The 16,445-nt window shown below is 41.5% G+C and overlaps 4 annotated features.

Annotated features, from left to right (window-relative positions):
* Positions 1,660-2,160: an enhancer, noted in NCBI's record as "H3K27ac hESC enhancer chr1:200388206-200388706 (GRCh37/hg19 assembly coordinates)". NCBI's record gives its function as "activates a minimal SCP1, AML or CMV promoter by ChIP-STARR-seq in naive H9 embryonic stem cells {active_cell/tissue: H9 hESC(naive)}" and the evidence as "EXISTENCE:reporter gene assay evidence [ECO:0000049][PMID:30033119]".
* Positions 2,161-2,661: an enhancer, noted in NCBI's record as "H3K27ac hESC enhancer chr1:200388707-200389207 (GRCh37/hg19 assembly coordinates)". NCBI's record gives its function as "activates a minimal SCP1, AML or CMV promoter by ChIP-STARR-seq in naive H9 embryonic stem cells {active_cell/tissue: H9 hESC(naive)}" and the evidence as "EXISTENCE:reporter gene assay evidence [ECO:0000049][PMID:30033119]".
* Positions 10,100-10,600: an enhancer, noted in NCBI's record as "H3K4me1 hESC enhancer chr1:200396646-200397146 (GRCh37/hg19 assembly coordinates)". NCBI's record gives its function as "activates a minimal SCP1, AML or CMV promoter by ChIP-STARR-seq in primed H9 embryonic stem cells {active_cell/tissue: H9 hESC(primed)}" and the evidence as "EXISTENCE:reporter gene assay evidence [ECO:0000049][PMID:30033119]".
* Positions 10,601-11,101: an enhancer, noted in NCBI's record as "H3K4me1 hESC enhancer chr1:200397147-200397647 (GRCh37/hg19 assembly coordinates)". NCBI's record gives its function as "activates a minimal SCP1, AML or CMV promoter by ChIP-STARR-seq in primed H9 embryonic stem cells {active_cell/tissue: H9 hESC(primed)}" and the evidence as "EXISTENCE:reporter gene assay evidence [ECO:0000049][PMID:30033119]".

Raw genomic sequence — 16,445 nt, forward strand, 5'->3', positions numbered from 1 at the left:
TTTTTTTGTTTGTTTGTTTTGTTTGTTTGATTTTGGTTTTGTTTTGAGACAGAGTCTCACTTGTCACCCAGGCTGGAGTACAGTGGCATGATCTCGGCTCACTGCAACCTCCGCCTCCCAGGTGCAAGCAATTCTCCTGCCTCAGCCTCCCGAGTAGCTGGGACTACAGGAGCCTGCCACCACACCCAGCTAATTTTTTGTATTTTTAATAGAGGGGGTTTCACTGTGTTAGCCAGGATGGTCTCAATCTCCTGACCTCGTGATCTGCCTGCCTCAGCCTCCCAAAGTGGTGGGATTACAGGCGTGAGCCAGTGCACATGGCCCCAATCTACTTTCTATAAACAATTCCCGCTTTGGGGATTACATCCTATAGAAACAAAAGCGTTAGTGTGAAGGATATGTATTTTTGAGGTTGCTTGTTGCTGCATTGTGCACAGTGGCAAAGAACTAGAAACAACTTGAATGCCCTTCAGCACGAGAACAACTGAATAAATTGTGGTATCTTTATCCCTTAGGATATTAGGCAACTAAAAGAATGAGTTGGAGCTATATTAGTCTGGAGGGATGTCCTTGCATAGTTAAACAAAAAAAGCAAGAGGAAAGATGCATTATGTTATATATTCTTACTTTTGTAAAACAAATAGCAAAACTCTCCCTTCTTCTGCCCAAATGTAACTATTAATAATTACACAGGAGAAAGATGTGCAAGGATGCACACCAAACTGTTGTCGTCGTCACTGGTTTCCTAATGGGAAGGATAAGAGGAAGAGGAGGTAAGTCAGAAACAAGTGAGACAGGCTGGGCGCGTTGGCTCATGTCTGTAATCTCAACACTTTGGGAGGCCAAGGCGGGTGGATCACCAGAGTTCAGGAGTTGGAGACCAGGCTGGCCAACATGGTGAAACCCCGTCTCTACTAAAAATACAAAAATTAGCCTGGCATGGTGGCGAGCACCTATAATTGCAGCTACTTGGGAGGCTGAGGCAGGAGAATCACTTGAACCTTGGAGGCGGAGGTTGCCATGAGCCAAGATCGCGCCACTGCACTCTAGCCTGGGCAACAAGAGCGAAACTCCATCTCAAAAAACAAAAAGAAAAGGAGAAACAAGTGAGACAGAGCAAACTAGAAAAACATGCTGATGTTGTCAAGAAAAGAGGTGGAATATAAAATTCTATGTATCATGTTACTGTAAATATAGAAAACAATCTGCACGCGAATAAGGATCGAAATGTAAGACAGACAAATGAAATATTGATTTGATTTGGAGGTAAGATTAGATTTTTTTCCTAGATTCTTATTTTAATATAAGGGCTATAATAAATTTGAACAAAAAAGTGGGTTTATTTAAAGTGTGTTTATTTTTTAAGTGGCCTCATTTTTATTTTTATTTATTTAGTTTTCAAGAGGCAGTGCCTCTCTATTTTGCCCAGACTAGAGTGGAGTAGCAATTCATAGGCAGGATCATAGCAACTGCAGCCTCGAATTCCTAGGCTCAAGTGATCTTCCTGCCTCAACCTCCCTAGTAGCTAGACTACAGGTGCCCAGCTAAAATGAATTTATTATATGTACTATAATGAAATTCCTGGTAGAATTATTTTCTCTTTTTCTGGGCTTCTGATTTTTTTCAAATTTTACTTCTAACTATCCTATCATATATATATAAAATGTATATATACATAAGTCATATATAAATATAAATATTTTATTTCTATTCTCATAGATAGATTTTCATATATATAATATATACAGATATATGTTTAGTACATACATATAACTATACCTATCTATGTATATCACTGGGTAGTTGAAAATAAAATCTGTTTTTGTTTAGTTTAGTTTAGTTTTGTTTTTGAGATGGAGTTTCGCTCTTGGTGCCCAGGCTGGAGTGCAATGGCCCAAGCTTGGCTCACTGCAACCTCTGCCTCCTGGGTTCAATTGATTCTCCTGCTTCAGCCTCCCAAGTAGCTGGGATTACAGGCATGCACCACTACACCCAGCTAATTTTTGTATTTTTAGTAGAGGGGTTTCACCTTGTTGGTCAGGCTGGTCTCGAACTCCTGACCTCAAGTGATCCACCCGCCTCAGCCTCCCAAAGTGCTGGGATTACAGGCATGAACCACTGCGCCTGGCCAAAATCTGGGTTTTTTTTTTTGTTTTTGTGTTTTGTTTTGAGACAGAGCCTCACTCTGTTGCCCAGGCTGGAGTGAAATGGCACGATCTCAGCTCACCTCAACCCCTGCCTCCTGAGTTCAAGCAAATCCCCTGCCTCAGCCTCCCCAGTAGCTGGAACTACAGGAATGTGCCACCACGCCCAGCTAATTTTTGTTTTTTTAGTAGAGACAGGGTTTCACCATGTTGGCCAGGACTGGCCTTGAACTTCTGGCTTCAAGTGATCCACTGGCCTGGGCCTCCCAAAGTGTTGGGATTATAGGCGTGAGCCACCATACCTGGCCAAAAATAAAATCTGAAAGAAGCCAGAAGCCCAGGAAAAGATAAAATAATTCCAACAGGAATTTCACTTCACTCCAGGTGGCCAACCCAAGAAAGAGAACGTGATGGGTTACTACATGGTTCCCACTGTCTGATAATAAGATCTATTTTTCACAAAAAATATTTCCTAAGAGCAATACTGAGTGACATAAAGGAGAATATCTTTCCTTTCTTTCTTTCTTTTCTTTTTTTTTTTTTTTTTGAGACAGGGTCTCGCTCTGTTGCCCAGACTGGAGTGCAGTGGTGCGATCATGGCTCACTGCAGCCTTGACCCGAGCTCAATCAGTCCTCCCACCTCAGCCTCCCTAGTAGCGGTACTACAGACATGCACCACCACGCCCAGCTAATTTTTGTATTTTTGTAGAGACGGGGTTTCACCGTGTTTCCCAGGCTGATCTGGAACTCCTAGACTCAAGTGATCCACCCACCTCAGACTCCCAGAGTGCTGGGTGTGAGCCACTGTGCCTGGCTAAGGAGAATATTTTAGATGACAGTTTTGCAGAAGAACCAAACAGGATCCAAAGGGGCAGTCGAGGGTAAAGGTTAAAAGCTAAGGATTTGGGGCCGGGCATGGTGACTCACGCCTGTAATCCCCGCACTTTGGGAGGCCGAGGCAGGTGGATCTCTTGAGGTCAGGAGTTCGAGACCATCCTGGGCAACATGGTGAAACCCCGTCTCTACTAAAAATATGAAAATTAGCCACGCTTGGTGGTGGACACCTGTAATCCCAGCTACTCAGGAGGCTGAGGCAGGAGAATCGCCTGAATCCAGGAGGTGGACGTTGCAGTGAGCCGAGATCAGGCCATTGCACTCCAGCCTGGTGACAGTGAGACTCCATCTCAAAAAAAAAAAAAAAAAAGGTTTGGAGTCAAACAAACTTGGATGTACTCCGGTACTCCGAGCTCTACCACACACTAACCCTGTGACTTTGGGCAGTTTTCTTAACTTCTCTGAGGCTAACTTTCCTTATTCAGTAATAATAGTAATTGTACAGGGTTGTCACGATAAAGTAGGTAACATTTAACATGATGCCTAGCACATAATGAAAATTCAATGTGTGCTAGAATTCAATGTGTGCTAGACAAAAGTCTATTTCTTCTATCTACATACAATGGAAACTGAGTAATTAGTAATAATTCTTACATTATCCATTTACATTTATTGAGTACTCACTAGGTATCAGGCACTGTGTGACTCCAAGTAGGGTTAAGATGTGGATCTTAACCATCAAGAAGTCTAGTAGAGAAGTTATTTTTAAAAATAGACCAAAAGAAGCTTATAAGTAGAAAACTCAGTTTCACCAAGGGAAGACAGTGAGTTTTCAAAGGGAAGCCAAAATTCATGAAGTGACTGCCTCTTTTTTGTGTGAAGCATTTTGATTTGATATTTTTCTAAAGATCTGATTTTGTTTTGTTGTGTTTGAGATGGAGTCTTGCTTCGCTCGGCTCACTGCAACCTCCGTCACCCGGGTTCAAGCAATTCTTCTGCCTCAGCCTCCTGAGTAGCTGAGATTACAGGCATCTGCCACCACGCCCTGCTAATTTTTGTATTTTTAATAGAGATGGGTTTTCACCATGTTGGCCAACCTGGTCTTGAACTCTTGACCTCAGGTGATCCACCCACCTCGGCCTCCCAAAGTGCTAGGATTACAGGCATGAGCCACCGTGTCTGGCCATAAAGATCTGATCCTTGAAGGAGTAGAAGGAATGATCAGGGAGACGGCTGGGAAAGGACATTTCTGAGATAATTTGAAAAAGAGAGTTTTGAGAGCACCAACCAGGCCAGAGTTACCTCCAAGGAGTTCAGAATTGCTGGAGCAACTAGTTTTCAAGTGAGACAGGCAAGGTGACGAAACTGGAAAGGAAGAAAGGACCAGATCATGAAAGGTTTTGCATATCATGTCAAGGAGTTCAGCTATTCTCTAGGAAGAGGGGATTATTAAAGAATTTTAATGGGAAAAGTGATGTAATGAGTTTTTTCTTTTTTTTTCTTTTTTTTATTTTATTATTATTATACTTTAAGTTTTAGGGTACATGTGCACAATGTGCAGGTTAGTTACATATGTACATATGTGCCATGCTGGTGTGCTGCACCCATTAACTCATCATTTAGCATTAGGTATATCTCCTAAAGCTATCCCTCCCCCCTCCTCCTACCCCACAACAGTCCCCAGAGTGTGATGTTCCCCTTCCTGTGTCCATGTGTTCTCATTGTTCAATTCCCACCTTTTTTTTTTTCTTTAAATAACTCTAGTAGCAATGAAGGAGGTGGATTAAAGTGGCACAGATCAGAAGTAGGGCAACCAGTTAGGAAGGTAGTCAGGGAAAGAGAAACAGAAATGGGGAAATGGTTGTGAGAATGCAGAGGTGTTTAGGGGACACAGTTGATTGGATGTGGATGCTGGACATGGAAAGAAAAGGAGAGAGCTGAGTTCCAGATAATTTCAGGTTTCTGGCTTCAGTGACGGTATGGGTGGTGGTATCATTTCCCAGTGTAGAGAATTAAATGGAATAAATGCGCATTTATTGGGGAAACTAAGAAATTTATTTTACATATGTTGAGTGTGGTCCGGTGAACAACTGGACACAGAGATTTGAGCCTTACAAAGGATAACTGGGATACAGCTGTGGATTTGGGATTCATCAGAGTACAGGTGGAAATTGAAGTCATCAACTAGCAAACATGTAAAGTATGTAAAGACAATGGCCTTGGACAGAGTTCTGGAAAATGTCAACGTTACAGAGATGAGCAGAAAGAGAGGAACCAGAGGAGTCAGAGATGTAAAGAGGATGTTTTCATGGAAGCCAGTAGAAGAGAGTTTCAGTTAGGGAGAAATGATTAGCAGCAAACATAGGTTACAGGCAAAGACTCTAAAACCAGACTGCCCAGGTTCTAACTCTAGCTCTACCATTTACTAGCTGTGTGAGCTTGGAAACATTACTCAACTCCTCTGTTCTTCAGTTCCATCATTTATAAAATGCATACAATAATTGTACCTGTCTCATAGAATTGTTATGGGAATTAAATGAGTTAATATGGCACAAAATAATTGCTGTATGACCATTGATCAATTGTCACGGTACAATCAAGTAAGAAAGGACCTGAATATGCAATTGGAATTAGTAATTCATTTCACTTGTATTTGAATACCTACTATATGTCAGGCACTCAGGATGCAGTCTTGAACAAACCATTGACCTTGCCCTTGATGGAGCTCACATTTTGGTGAACAGTGGTTGTTGAATGTGTACTATGTGCACTGCTTTAATCCCAACAAGCTTTACCTCACTCACGCCTCTCAGTTATCCTAGGTTGTAGGTAACCATCATTATCCCCATTTTACAGAAAAGAACAATGAGTAGCACAAAGGAGTTAAGCAAAGTCCCCAAACCAGGAAGTGGCAAAAGCAGGATTCAAACAGAGCTGAACTGGCTCTGAAGAGCACCTTCTTAACATCTAAACCAGTGTTTGCTGTTGACCTTAGCGACGGCAGTTTTAGAAGCATGGTGGAGCAATATCCAGGCTGCAGTAAACTGAGCATTGAATGGGAGCGAGTTAATTAAGATAGAAATTGAAAGCATTTCCTCAGAGAGCCAAACCAACAAAGTCCAAGCATGTGGATTTGTGGTGATCTTAGTTTGTTTGAGGGATAGCGTTAAGAAATAGTAAAGGATTCAATACTAAGCATGTTCTCGGGTCACGTCTTTCTCAAATATCTGTTTCCACTATTCTTTTGCAAGAGCTGGATGGCGCTGGTTCAATATTAAGATCTTTAGTAAATGCCTGAAGGTGTTTACTTGGTATTGTTTATTAAAATAAGGTAAGTATAATTTAAATGTAAGATGAATATGTGGCAGAATCTCATTTTCTTATAAAAATCAAAGAAAATAAATTGTATTCTCTTTTTTTTTTTTTTTTGAGACGGAGTCTCACTCTGTCACCCAGGTTGGAGTGCAGTGGCACCACCTCAGCTCACTGCAACCTCTGCCCCCAGGGTTCTAGCGATTCTCCTGCCTCAGCCTCCTGAGTTTCTGGGATTACAGGCGCCTGCCACTGCGCCCAGCCTTAAATTGTATTCTCAACCAAAGTTAAGATTATTAAAGGGTACAGATGACAGATCAGACTTCTTTTTTTTGGTGAATGGAAAAAATCTAAAGAGTACTCTTAACCTTTTCTTGGTCTGATACAGATTAGTAGGTGCCAGGTATCTGCATTTTTAACAAACATCCCCGTTGTTCTGATGCATACCAAAGTTTTTGGGCTTTGGTGTGTTTTTTTGAGACCAGGGCCCCCAATCATGGCTCATTGCAGCCTCAGCTTCCTGGGGTCATTCCTCCTGCCTCAGCCTCCTAGGTAGCCAGGACTATAGATGCACGCCACCATGCCCGGCTAATTTTTTGGTTTTGGGGTTTTTGGTTTTTGGTTTTTACAGACAGGGTCTTGCTATGTTGTCCAGGCTGCTCTTAAACTCCTGGCCTCAAGTAATCTTCCTACCTTGGCTTCCCAAAGTCCGGGGATTACAGGCATGAGCCATTGCACCTGGCCTCATACTAAAGTTTAAGAATTAATACTGGCTGGATGTGGTGGCTCACGCCTATAATCCCAGCACTTTGGGAGGCTGAGGTGGGCAGACCACCTGAGGTCAGGAGTTCGAGACCAACCTGGGCAACATGGTGACACCCCATCTCTGCCTGTAATCCCAGCACTTTGGGAGGCCAAGGTGGGCAGATCACAAGGTCAGGAGTTTGAGACCAGCCTGGCCAACATTGTGAAATTCCATCTCTACTAAAAATACAAAAATTAGCCGGGCGCAGTGGCGGGCACCTGTAATCTCAGCTACTCGGGAGGCTGAGGCAGGAGAATTGTTTGAAGCCAGGAGGCGGAGGTTACCGCGAACAAGATTGTGCCACTGCATTCCAGCTTGGGTGACAGAGCAAGACTCCGTCTCGAAAAAAAAAAAAAAAAATTAGCCAGGCATAATGGTGCACGTCTGTAATCTCAGCTACTCAGGAGGCATGAGAATCACTTGAACCTGGGAGGTAGAGGTTGCAGTGAGCTGAGATCACTTCACTGTACTCCAGACTAAGTGACAAAGTGAGACTCTGTCTCAAAAAAAAAAAAAAGAGGAATTAATTCTAAGCCAGGTGTGGTGGCACGTGCCTATAGGCCCAGCTACTTGGGAGGCCAAGGTTGGGGAATCCCTTGAGCCCGGGAATTGGAGGCCATTCTGAGCAACATAGCAAGACTTCATCTCTAAAAAAAAAAAGAATTAATTCCAGTTCCACTATGGCATTTGTTATGTAAAATAAATAAACCACTATTTTAAGGGCTACTCAACAAATAAAAACTGTAAATTTAGGGGGGTTGGAGTTTGCCTTGTTTGAGATGAAATATATTATAACCCTAATCAGTTTTCAGGTGTTGTAACTGAAGGGCTGTAGAGAGTAAATAAACTAGAAAAACTTTCAGAACAGAATTCTTTTTTTTTTTTTTAGCAGAGGTCTCTTTGTTGCCCAGGCTGAAGTGCAGTGGCTAGACTCAGGTGACATCATAGTGCCCTGCCGCCTGGAACTCACCCTGGGCACAAGCAGTCTTCCTGCCTCAGCCTCCCGAGTAGCTGGGACTACAGGTGCACGCAACTGCACCTGGCTCAGAACAGAATTTAAAGGGATTGGCAACAAAAAATTTCTTCTACAGCTTTTTTTTTTTTTAAGTTAAGGTGATTGACCAGATATGAAATAGGGCATACTAGATATAGAAGTACCATTTTACAGATCTATGCCACAAGGATTTCAAAATACTGCTTAAATATTATACGATTTAGGACCTTCTTGTTTGCAAATGACAGAAACTCAACTCAAACCAGATGAAGCATATAAAAGGAGAGGAGATTTATTGAAAGGATGGGTGGGGGGAGCTATCGGGATTGAAGAAATAATTTTTTTTTTTTTGAGATGGAGTTTCACTTTGTGGCCCAGGCTGGACTGCAGTGGCCCGATCTTGGCTCATTGCAACCTCCGCCCCCTAGATTCAAGCGATTCTCATGTCTCAGCCTCCCGAGTAGCTGGGATTATAGGCGCACGCAATCACGCCCGGCTACTTTTTCTATTTTTAATAGAGACGGGGTTTTGTTATATTGCCCAGGCTGGTTTTGAACTCCTGACCTCAAGTGATCCACCCACGTCGGCCTCCCAAAGTGCTGGGATTACAGGCGTGAGCCACGGCGCCTGACCAGAACTTAATAAATAATTGAAAAATTAAATCTTGAATGGCAAGAAGAGGACTGAATAAAGGATTCTCTATTTGTTTCTCTGCTCAGACCAATTTTCTCTGGTGGAGGATGTGCTGCTAGCAGTTTTGGGCTCTCAGTCTTACAGTTCCTCTACAGGAAAAGGAATACCTTTTCCGTCATAACTCCTGAATGAAATTCTGGCCCCATTTAGGTCACATGTCCATCAGTGGACCAATGACTGTGGTGTAGGGAGTGAGCTTTTGCAATTGGCTCAGACTGGTTTACAAGCCTACCCCTTAACCAATCAAGTGGCTAGAAAAGCAAGGTCCCTTAAGATGGCCACTTCCATTCAGATAGCTTAGCTAGAGCCAGAGGAAGACAAGGGGTAGGACAGGGAGAGTCACCTGAGGAATCATCAGCTACTCCAGTTAGTGTTTACTACAGACATGGTCGCTAGTCTTGGGACTTACAACTTAGCGGGAGAGCAAAACAAATAATTTGTGTATAAGAAAGGCATACTAATGTGGATTTATGGTATTCAGAAAATACAAAGTTAAATATTAGCCGGACATGGTGGCGCACGCCTGTAGTCCCAGCTACTTGGGAGGCCGGGGCAGGAGAATCACTTGAACCCGGGAGGTGGAGATTGCAGTGAGCCGAGATCACACCACTGCACTCCACTGCACTCCAGCCTGGGCGACAGAGCAAGACTACGTCTCAAAAAAAAAAAAAAAAAGAAAGAAAAAGCCCTGACTAAATAAAGTTAACCAAATTGTGGTATCTCAAAGTTATATCATGTTATGCAGACATTAAATAATTTTTATGAAAAGTTTCAATCGTGGAAAACTGATTAAGACACATGAGTGAAGAAAAACAGTATACAAAAAGGATTATCTCAGTTATGTAAAAAAATGCATTTAAAGAGAATGGAAGGAAATATACCTAAGTTTTAATGATAATTATTATTATTCAGTTGTAGGATTGTGGATAATTTTTTATTTTCTCTATACTACTATATATTTTTCAAATTTTCTATTGCTTTTTTTGTTTTTTTGTTTTTTTTTTTTTGAGATAGGGTCTTCCTCTATCGCTCAGGCTGGAGTGCAGCAGTATGATCATGGCTCACTGCAGCCTTGACTTCCTGGGCTCAGATGATTCTCCCACCTCATCCTCCTGAGTAGCTGGGACTATATGCATGTGCCACCACACCCAGCTAATTTTTTTGTATTTTTTGTAGAGACAGGGTTTTGCCATGCTGCCCAGGCTGGTTTATTGCTTTTATTATCAGAAAAGTATGTTATAAAAATAGATTTTAAAAATGTTTAATAATGCAGGGCAATAAATATTCTAATCTGTTAAATAACAAAAATCAGCATACAAATTTCTATCACAATGTATTCACAACTACATAAAACATAAAAAGATCTCCATAAACATAAAAACTGAATAAATGTGAAATATCCAGAGTAGCTGCTCTGCTTATTATTTATGAACTATTATACCTGTTAAAATCTAGACTCACTTTCATTTAAAAAGATATCACTACACAAAAAGTATCTTAACATTTTAGCAGAAACTCACAATCTGTTGAGCTTCCTAGAATTTCCCAGAAGATCACAGCTAACAAGTTGCACGCTTCCTGTTGTATCTAGAAGATAATTACGTAAAGTAGACTGTGGAAGGAAAATAGGTGTGTTATGCTGTTTTGTCATCTGGTGACACAACATAAAGAAGGCAAGTGGATAAGAATTAAAAAGAGGCTGTAGGTGGGTGTGGTGTCTCACAGACTGTAATCCCAGCACTTTGGGAGGCCAAGGCGTGGCAGCAGGGGGATCGCTTGAGCCAAGGAGTTCAAGACCAGCCTAGGCAACATAGCACAACATAGCGAGACATCATCTCTACAGAAAATTAAAAAATTAGCTGGGTATGGTAGCACATGCCTGTAGTCCCAGCTACTGTAGAGCCTGAGGCAGGAGAATCACTTGAGCCCAGGGAGGTCAAGGCTGCAGTGAGCTGTGATCATGCCACTGCACTCCCACCTGGAGGACAGAATAAGACCGTGTCTCAAAAAAAAATTAGGCAAACAAATTCACTAATAATTGCCATGTGATCAGTTGAAAAATCCAAAAAAAGAAAGCATGAGAATTTTGGCATGTTGAACCAAGTTCTCTTTTGCCACAGTCGACTATAATTCATGGAACACATACAACTTTGAATTTGGACTACAGTTTGATAGAGTTCTCATCTAAGCTGGCCTGACATCCCCTTCAGGTTGAACTTCATCAGGACCCACATTCATTGAACACATATTGTTGAGCCTTTACTATGAACACAAATTGTTGGGTACTTAAATGGCCAGGGTATCTGACTTTCAGCATTCTAGTCTCCTGATTCATCAAACCCAGGGTTTCAACTATTATACATATATTATACATATACTGATTGGTGTAAAATTTGGTGTACTGTACATTACACCAAAAAAACTCTTTGAAATAAGAAATATGTATGAAACTTAAAAATCAACAATAAGATGGCAGAAGGCCAAAACGTTTGGAAATCCCCCTTAAATCTAGTCCTAGTCATAGTATTTATATGAGCCAGTACCTCGAAGGCTAGCTCTGTGCAAGTTCCCTTTTCCAGTGTGTGACATTTAATTTGTTCATTCATAAACATTTACATGATATTTTACACATTATAAGTGGTTTCTATGGAACATGATTTCATTTTAGCCTTACTATAACTCCATTTTTAAAAGGAAGAAAATAAATGACTTTCCCAGGATTGTAAAATAAAATAACAGAGTGAAGATAGAACCTACATTTTTGTGGCTTCTAGTTTGGCATTTGTTCATGATAGCACGCTTCTGTTTAACAAACAAAATGGCTTATTCATGTTGGCTTCTTATTTATAGGTATCATCTCTGCTCACTTCATATGTTAGGCCAAAAATTAATTGATGAGTTTCTTACAGAAGATAGTATATAAACACAAATTCCTTAGATGGATTTAAAGTCTTATCTAACCTATTTTTTAAAGGTGAAACTGGGCCAGGCACGGTGGCTCATGCCTATAATCCCAGCATTTTGGGAGGCTGAGGGAGGAGGATTGCTTGAACCCAGGTGTTTGAAACCAGCATGGGCAACATAGGGAGAGCCTGTGTCTACAAAAGTAAAAAAAATTAGCTGTGTGTGGTAGTGCATTCCTGTGGTCTCAGCTACTTGGGAGGCTGAGGTGGGAGGCTTGCTTGGGCCCAGGAGGTCAAGGTTGCAGTGACCTATGATTATGTCATTGCACCATTGCACTCCAGCCTCAGTGACAAAGCAAAACCCTGTCTCAAAAAAAGAAAAAAAAAGTAAACTGATTAAATACACTATTTCTGCCAAATATCTTGAATTTTTTTACTCGAAAAAATTTTGTGCTTAACCTAAAACCTATGTGAAGATTAAGCAGCTTTCAAGAGAAATGAGTCCACTCTACCTCATATTCTGTTTTTTTTTCCACTGTGAGTGGTTGATAATGTAGATCTTTGCAACATAACCAGAACTGGCTCCCTTGACTCCATAAATAGTAACTAAATTGTCCCTAAGTCCCGGGCTATTAGTCATTCTTTTTCAAAAATCGTGGTATATTACTGCTAACATCAGAGGAAAGAACTTTCAATCCTAAAAAGTATAAAATAAGGCTTTGCTGTATGTGCCTCTTTATTTTAATTTATAGTTAAATTAAATAACAGTTACTCTATGAACTGAATAAGCATTGGCCTCTTAGCTTATCAACTACAGTGTTCCCTTTCACCTGAGTGCTCACTTCAAAAGCAGCTAATCCTATTGGCTATTAGAGTCAGAAGCTTCAAACATATTGACAGCAAGAATGTTGTATTCAGTAGAACTTCTCAATCAGTTAAATAGACATAGAACAACTGCCCAATCAGATGACATTCAGGTACTTCGGTATGCCTTTGTGGCTAATATACTGAGGCTGGGTTAGAATGCATTACTGAGGTTAGAGTCCCTCAGGCCAAAATGATGTCTACTGTGTTACTGCTGTGAGATTCTGGGATTCTAGAGAGTTGTAAAAATGTTCAAAAACATACTTGCATGTATCCTACCTCACACATCTACCATCCACGTACAAGTGCGCTAACCCACAGTCTAGAAGAGTGCCAGTGGAACCTAGTATGGCACAAGACAAGGATGGTGCTGTCTTATCTCTGTCTTCTAAGGTTTATTGGAAGCCCTTCCATCAATGACACAGAACACCAGCTCTCCCCAGGGGTTCAAGCAACACTGACTTGCCCAAAGGCTTATTTGAAACACCTGATATTAATGAGAGATGGTATCTAGGGTATATGTCAACTATTCCTAGATTCTCTGAGTGCTATTTCTGTATAAAGTTAGATCATCAGAAAGCAGTATATTTGGATCACATTAGCATGGGTTCGTTGTAGAAATGCCTTCAGTGAGTGACATTCTCTACATTAACTTTTTTTTTTTTTTTTTTGAGACACAGTCTTGCTCTGTCGCCAGGCTGGAGTACAGTGGGGCGATCTTGGTTCACTGCAACCTCTGCCTCCCGGGTTCAAGCAATTCTCTTGCCTCAGCCTCCCGAATAACTGGGACTACAGGCACGTGTCACCACGCCACAGTCTTTTGTATGTTTAGTAGAGACCAGGTTTCATCATGTTGGCCAGGCTGGTCTCGAACTCCTGACCTCAGGTGATCCACCCGCCTGAGCCTCCCACAGGACTGAGATTACAGGCATGAACCACCTCGCCCGGCCTACATTAACTTTTTAATTTAATTTTTATCCTTATCACAGTTACACATGTACATGGGGTTTCTTTCATTATTATTATTATTTTTTATTTTTTATTTTATTTTTTTTTTTTTTGAGGCAGTCTCCCTCTATTGCCCAGGCTGGAGTGCGGTGGCACAAACTTGGTTCACTGCAACCTCCACCTCCTGCATTCAAGTGATCCTCCCACCTCAGCCTCCTGAGAAGCTGGGACTACAAGCACATGCCACCATGCCCAGCTAATTTTTGTCTTTTTTGTAGAGACGGAGTTTCGCCATGTTGCCCAAGCCGATCTCCAACTCCTGAGTTCAAGTGATCCACCCACCTCGGCCTCCCAAAGTGCTCAGATTACAGACAATGAGCCACCGCTCCTGGCCTTGTACATGGGGTTTAGAGTCAAATAGTTCTGCAAGACCTATGATTAAAAAAAAAAAAATTGACCTCCACCTTCAATTTCTCATTCCCCAGATGCAAATTTTCCACTCTTTTTCCCCCCTTTTATTTGAGACAGTCTGTCGCCCAGGATGATGCAGTGGTGCAATCTGCGGTCACTGCAACCTCCACCTCCTGGGTCCAAGTGATTCTCCTGCCTCAGCCGCCCAAGTAGCTGGGATTACAGGCATGTGCCACCACACCCAGCTAATTTTTGTATTTTTAGTAGAGACAGGGTTTCACTATGTTGGCCAGACTGGTCTCGAACTCCTGGGCTCAGGTGATCCACCCACCTCGGCCTCCCAAAGTGCTGGGATTACAGGCATGAGCCACGGCACCTGGCCAAATTTTCCACTCTTTTTAGCTGATTGTTTTCATACTTACCTCCACATATCTAAATAATATATTTATATTGCTACATCTTGATTTTCAGTATCTTGTTCTATCAGTTTTCCACAATGGAAAATGTAAATTTTGCTGACTGTATGATCAACCTCACTGACTGCTTGCTTTCCGTCCTCTGAGTTTATTTCTTTTTGGTGGAGCATATCCTTCAGTAGTTTCCTGAGAGAGGTAAATGGAAGGCAAAGTTGCTACCATGTATCTAAAAATGTCTTCATGCTGGACGGCGACTCATGCCCTGCACTTTGGGAAGCTGAGACAGGAGGATTGCTTGGACCCAGGAGTTTGAGACCAGCCTGGGCAACAAAGTAAGACCATGTCTGTACAAAAAAAAATCAAAAAATTAGATGGGTATGGTGGTGCACACCTGTATCCCCAGCTATTCAGGAGGCTGAGGCAGGAGGATTGGTTGAACCCTGGAGGTTGAGGCTGCTGTGAGCCATGATCATGCCACTGCACTCTAGCCTGGGTGACAGAGTGAGCCCCTGTCTCAAAATTAAAAATTAAAAAAATAAAAATGGGCTGGGTGTGGTGGCTCACGCTTGTAATCCTAGCACTTTGGGAGGCTGAAGTAGGCAGATTGTTTGAGCCCAGAAGTTCGAGACCAGCCTGGGCAACATGACAAAACTCTGTTTCTACAAAAGATACAAAAAATAAGCCAGACGTGGTGGTGCATACAAGCAGTCCCAGCTACTCGGGAGGCTGAAGTGGGAGGATCACCTGAACCCAGGAGGTGGTGGTTGCAATGAGCTGTGATCACACCACTGTGCTCCAGCCTAGGTGACAGAGTGAGACCCTGTCTTAAAAAAGTTAAAAAAGAGCCTTTATTCTTTCTTCATACACAGTTGATAGTACTGAATTCTACTTTAGAAATTATTTTCCCTCAGAATTATAAAGGCATTTATCAGTTATCGTCTACCATCTAGAACTGCTGTTGAGGAGTTGGATGTCATTCTCATACTTAATCCTTTTTGTGAAACCTACTTTTCTTGTCTGGAAGCCTGTTTCTCAGTATTTACAGTGTTTGATGATGTCATTGGTGTGGGTTAGTTTTCATTCATCATGCTGGAAATTTGATGTCCCTTTCTGCTGCAAATGCCTATTTTTTCTGTCTAAAATAAACTTTCTTAAAATGTTACTTTGATTATTTCTTTTCCTTCCCCTAATTTCCCTGATTTGTCCCCCCTCTTTTTGGAACACTCTATTACTTGAATGGTGGATATCCTGGATAGTGTCTCTACTATTTTCTTACTTCCTATCTCTTTATCTTTTTATTGTGCTTTCTGGAGGACTTCCTCGATTTTTTCTTCTTATCGTCTATTTAGTTTTTTATTTGTCATGCCATACTATTTTAACTTTCAAAAACTGTTTCCTGAGTTTTCCTTTTTTTCTTTTTAACAGTATTTGCACTTTATGGATACTATTGATATGAATATTAGTACTAATAATAGGATCTGTGTCTCTTTTAAAAGTTTTCTTTTACATATACTTAAGACTGGGACATGAAAAAACAATTTGCCTGGAAGCTCTGTGTTTGGGGTCAAAGGCCTGTCAACTGTGAGCTTCACCAGATGGTTATCTGAAGTGAGGTATTTTATTGGCTTAAAATATTATATCATGAGCATTTTGCTAGGTCATTAAAAATTTCTTAAAATAGGCCAGACACAGTGGCTCACACCTGTAATCCCAGCACTTGGGAGGCCAAGGTAGGAGGATCACTTGAGCTCAGGAGTTCAAGACCAGCCTGGGCAACATAGCAAGACCTCATCTCTACTAAAAACTAAAAGAAATTAGCCAGGGGTGGTAGCAGGTGCCTGTAGTCCCAGCTACTCAGGTGGTTGAGGTGGGAGAATCACTTGATCCCAGGAGATGGAGCCTGCAGTGAGGTATGATTTTGCCACTGCACTCTAGCCTGGGCAACAGAGCAAGACCCTGTCTCAAAAAAAAAAAAAAGAAATAAATAAAAAAGGAAAGAAAGAAAGGAAAAAGAAAGAAAGGAGAAAGGGAAAGGAAAGGAGAAGAAAAGAAAAAGAGAGAACTTGAGTACTTAACAAAAATGATAATCCATAAACTTCACTATTTGAGTTCACAGGAGTG

Source organism: Homo sapiens, chromosome 1 (genome assembly GCF_000001405.40).
Source record: "Homo sapiens chromosome 1, GRCh38.p14 Primary Assembly".
Classification (NCBI taxonomy): Eukaryota; Metazoa; Chordata; class Mammalia; order Primates; family Hominidae; genus Homo; species Homo sapiens.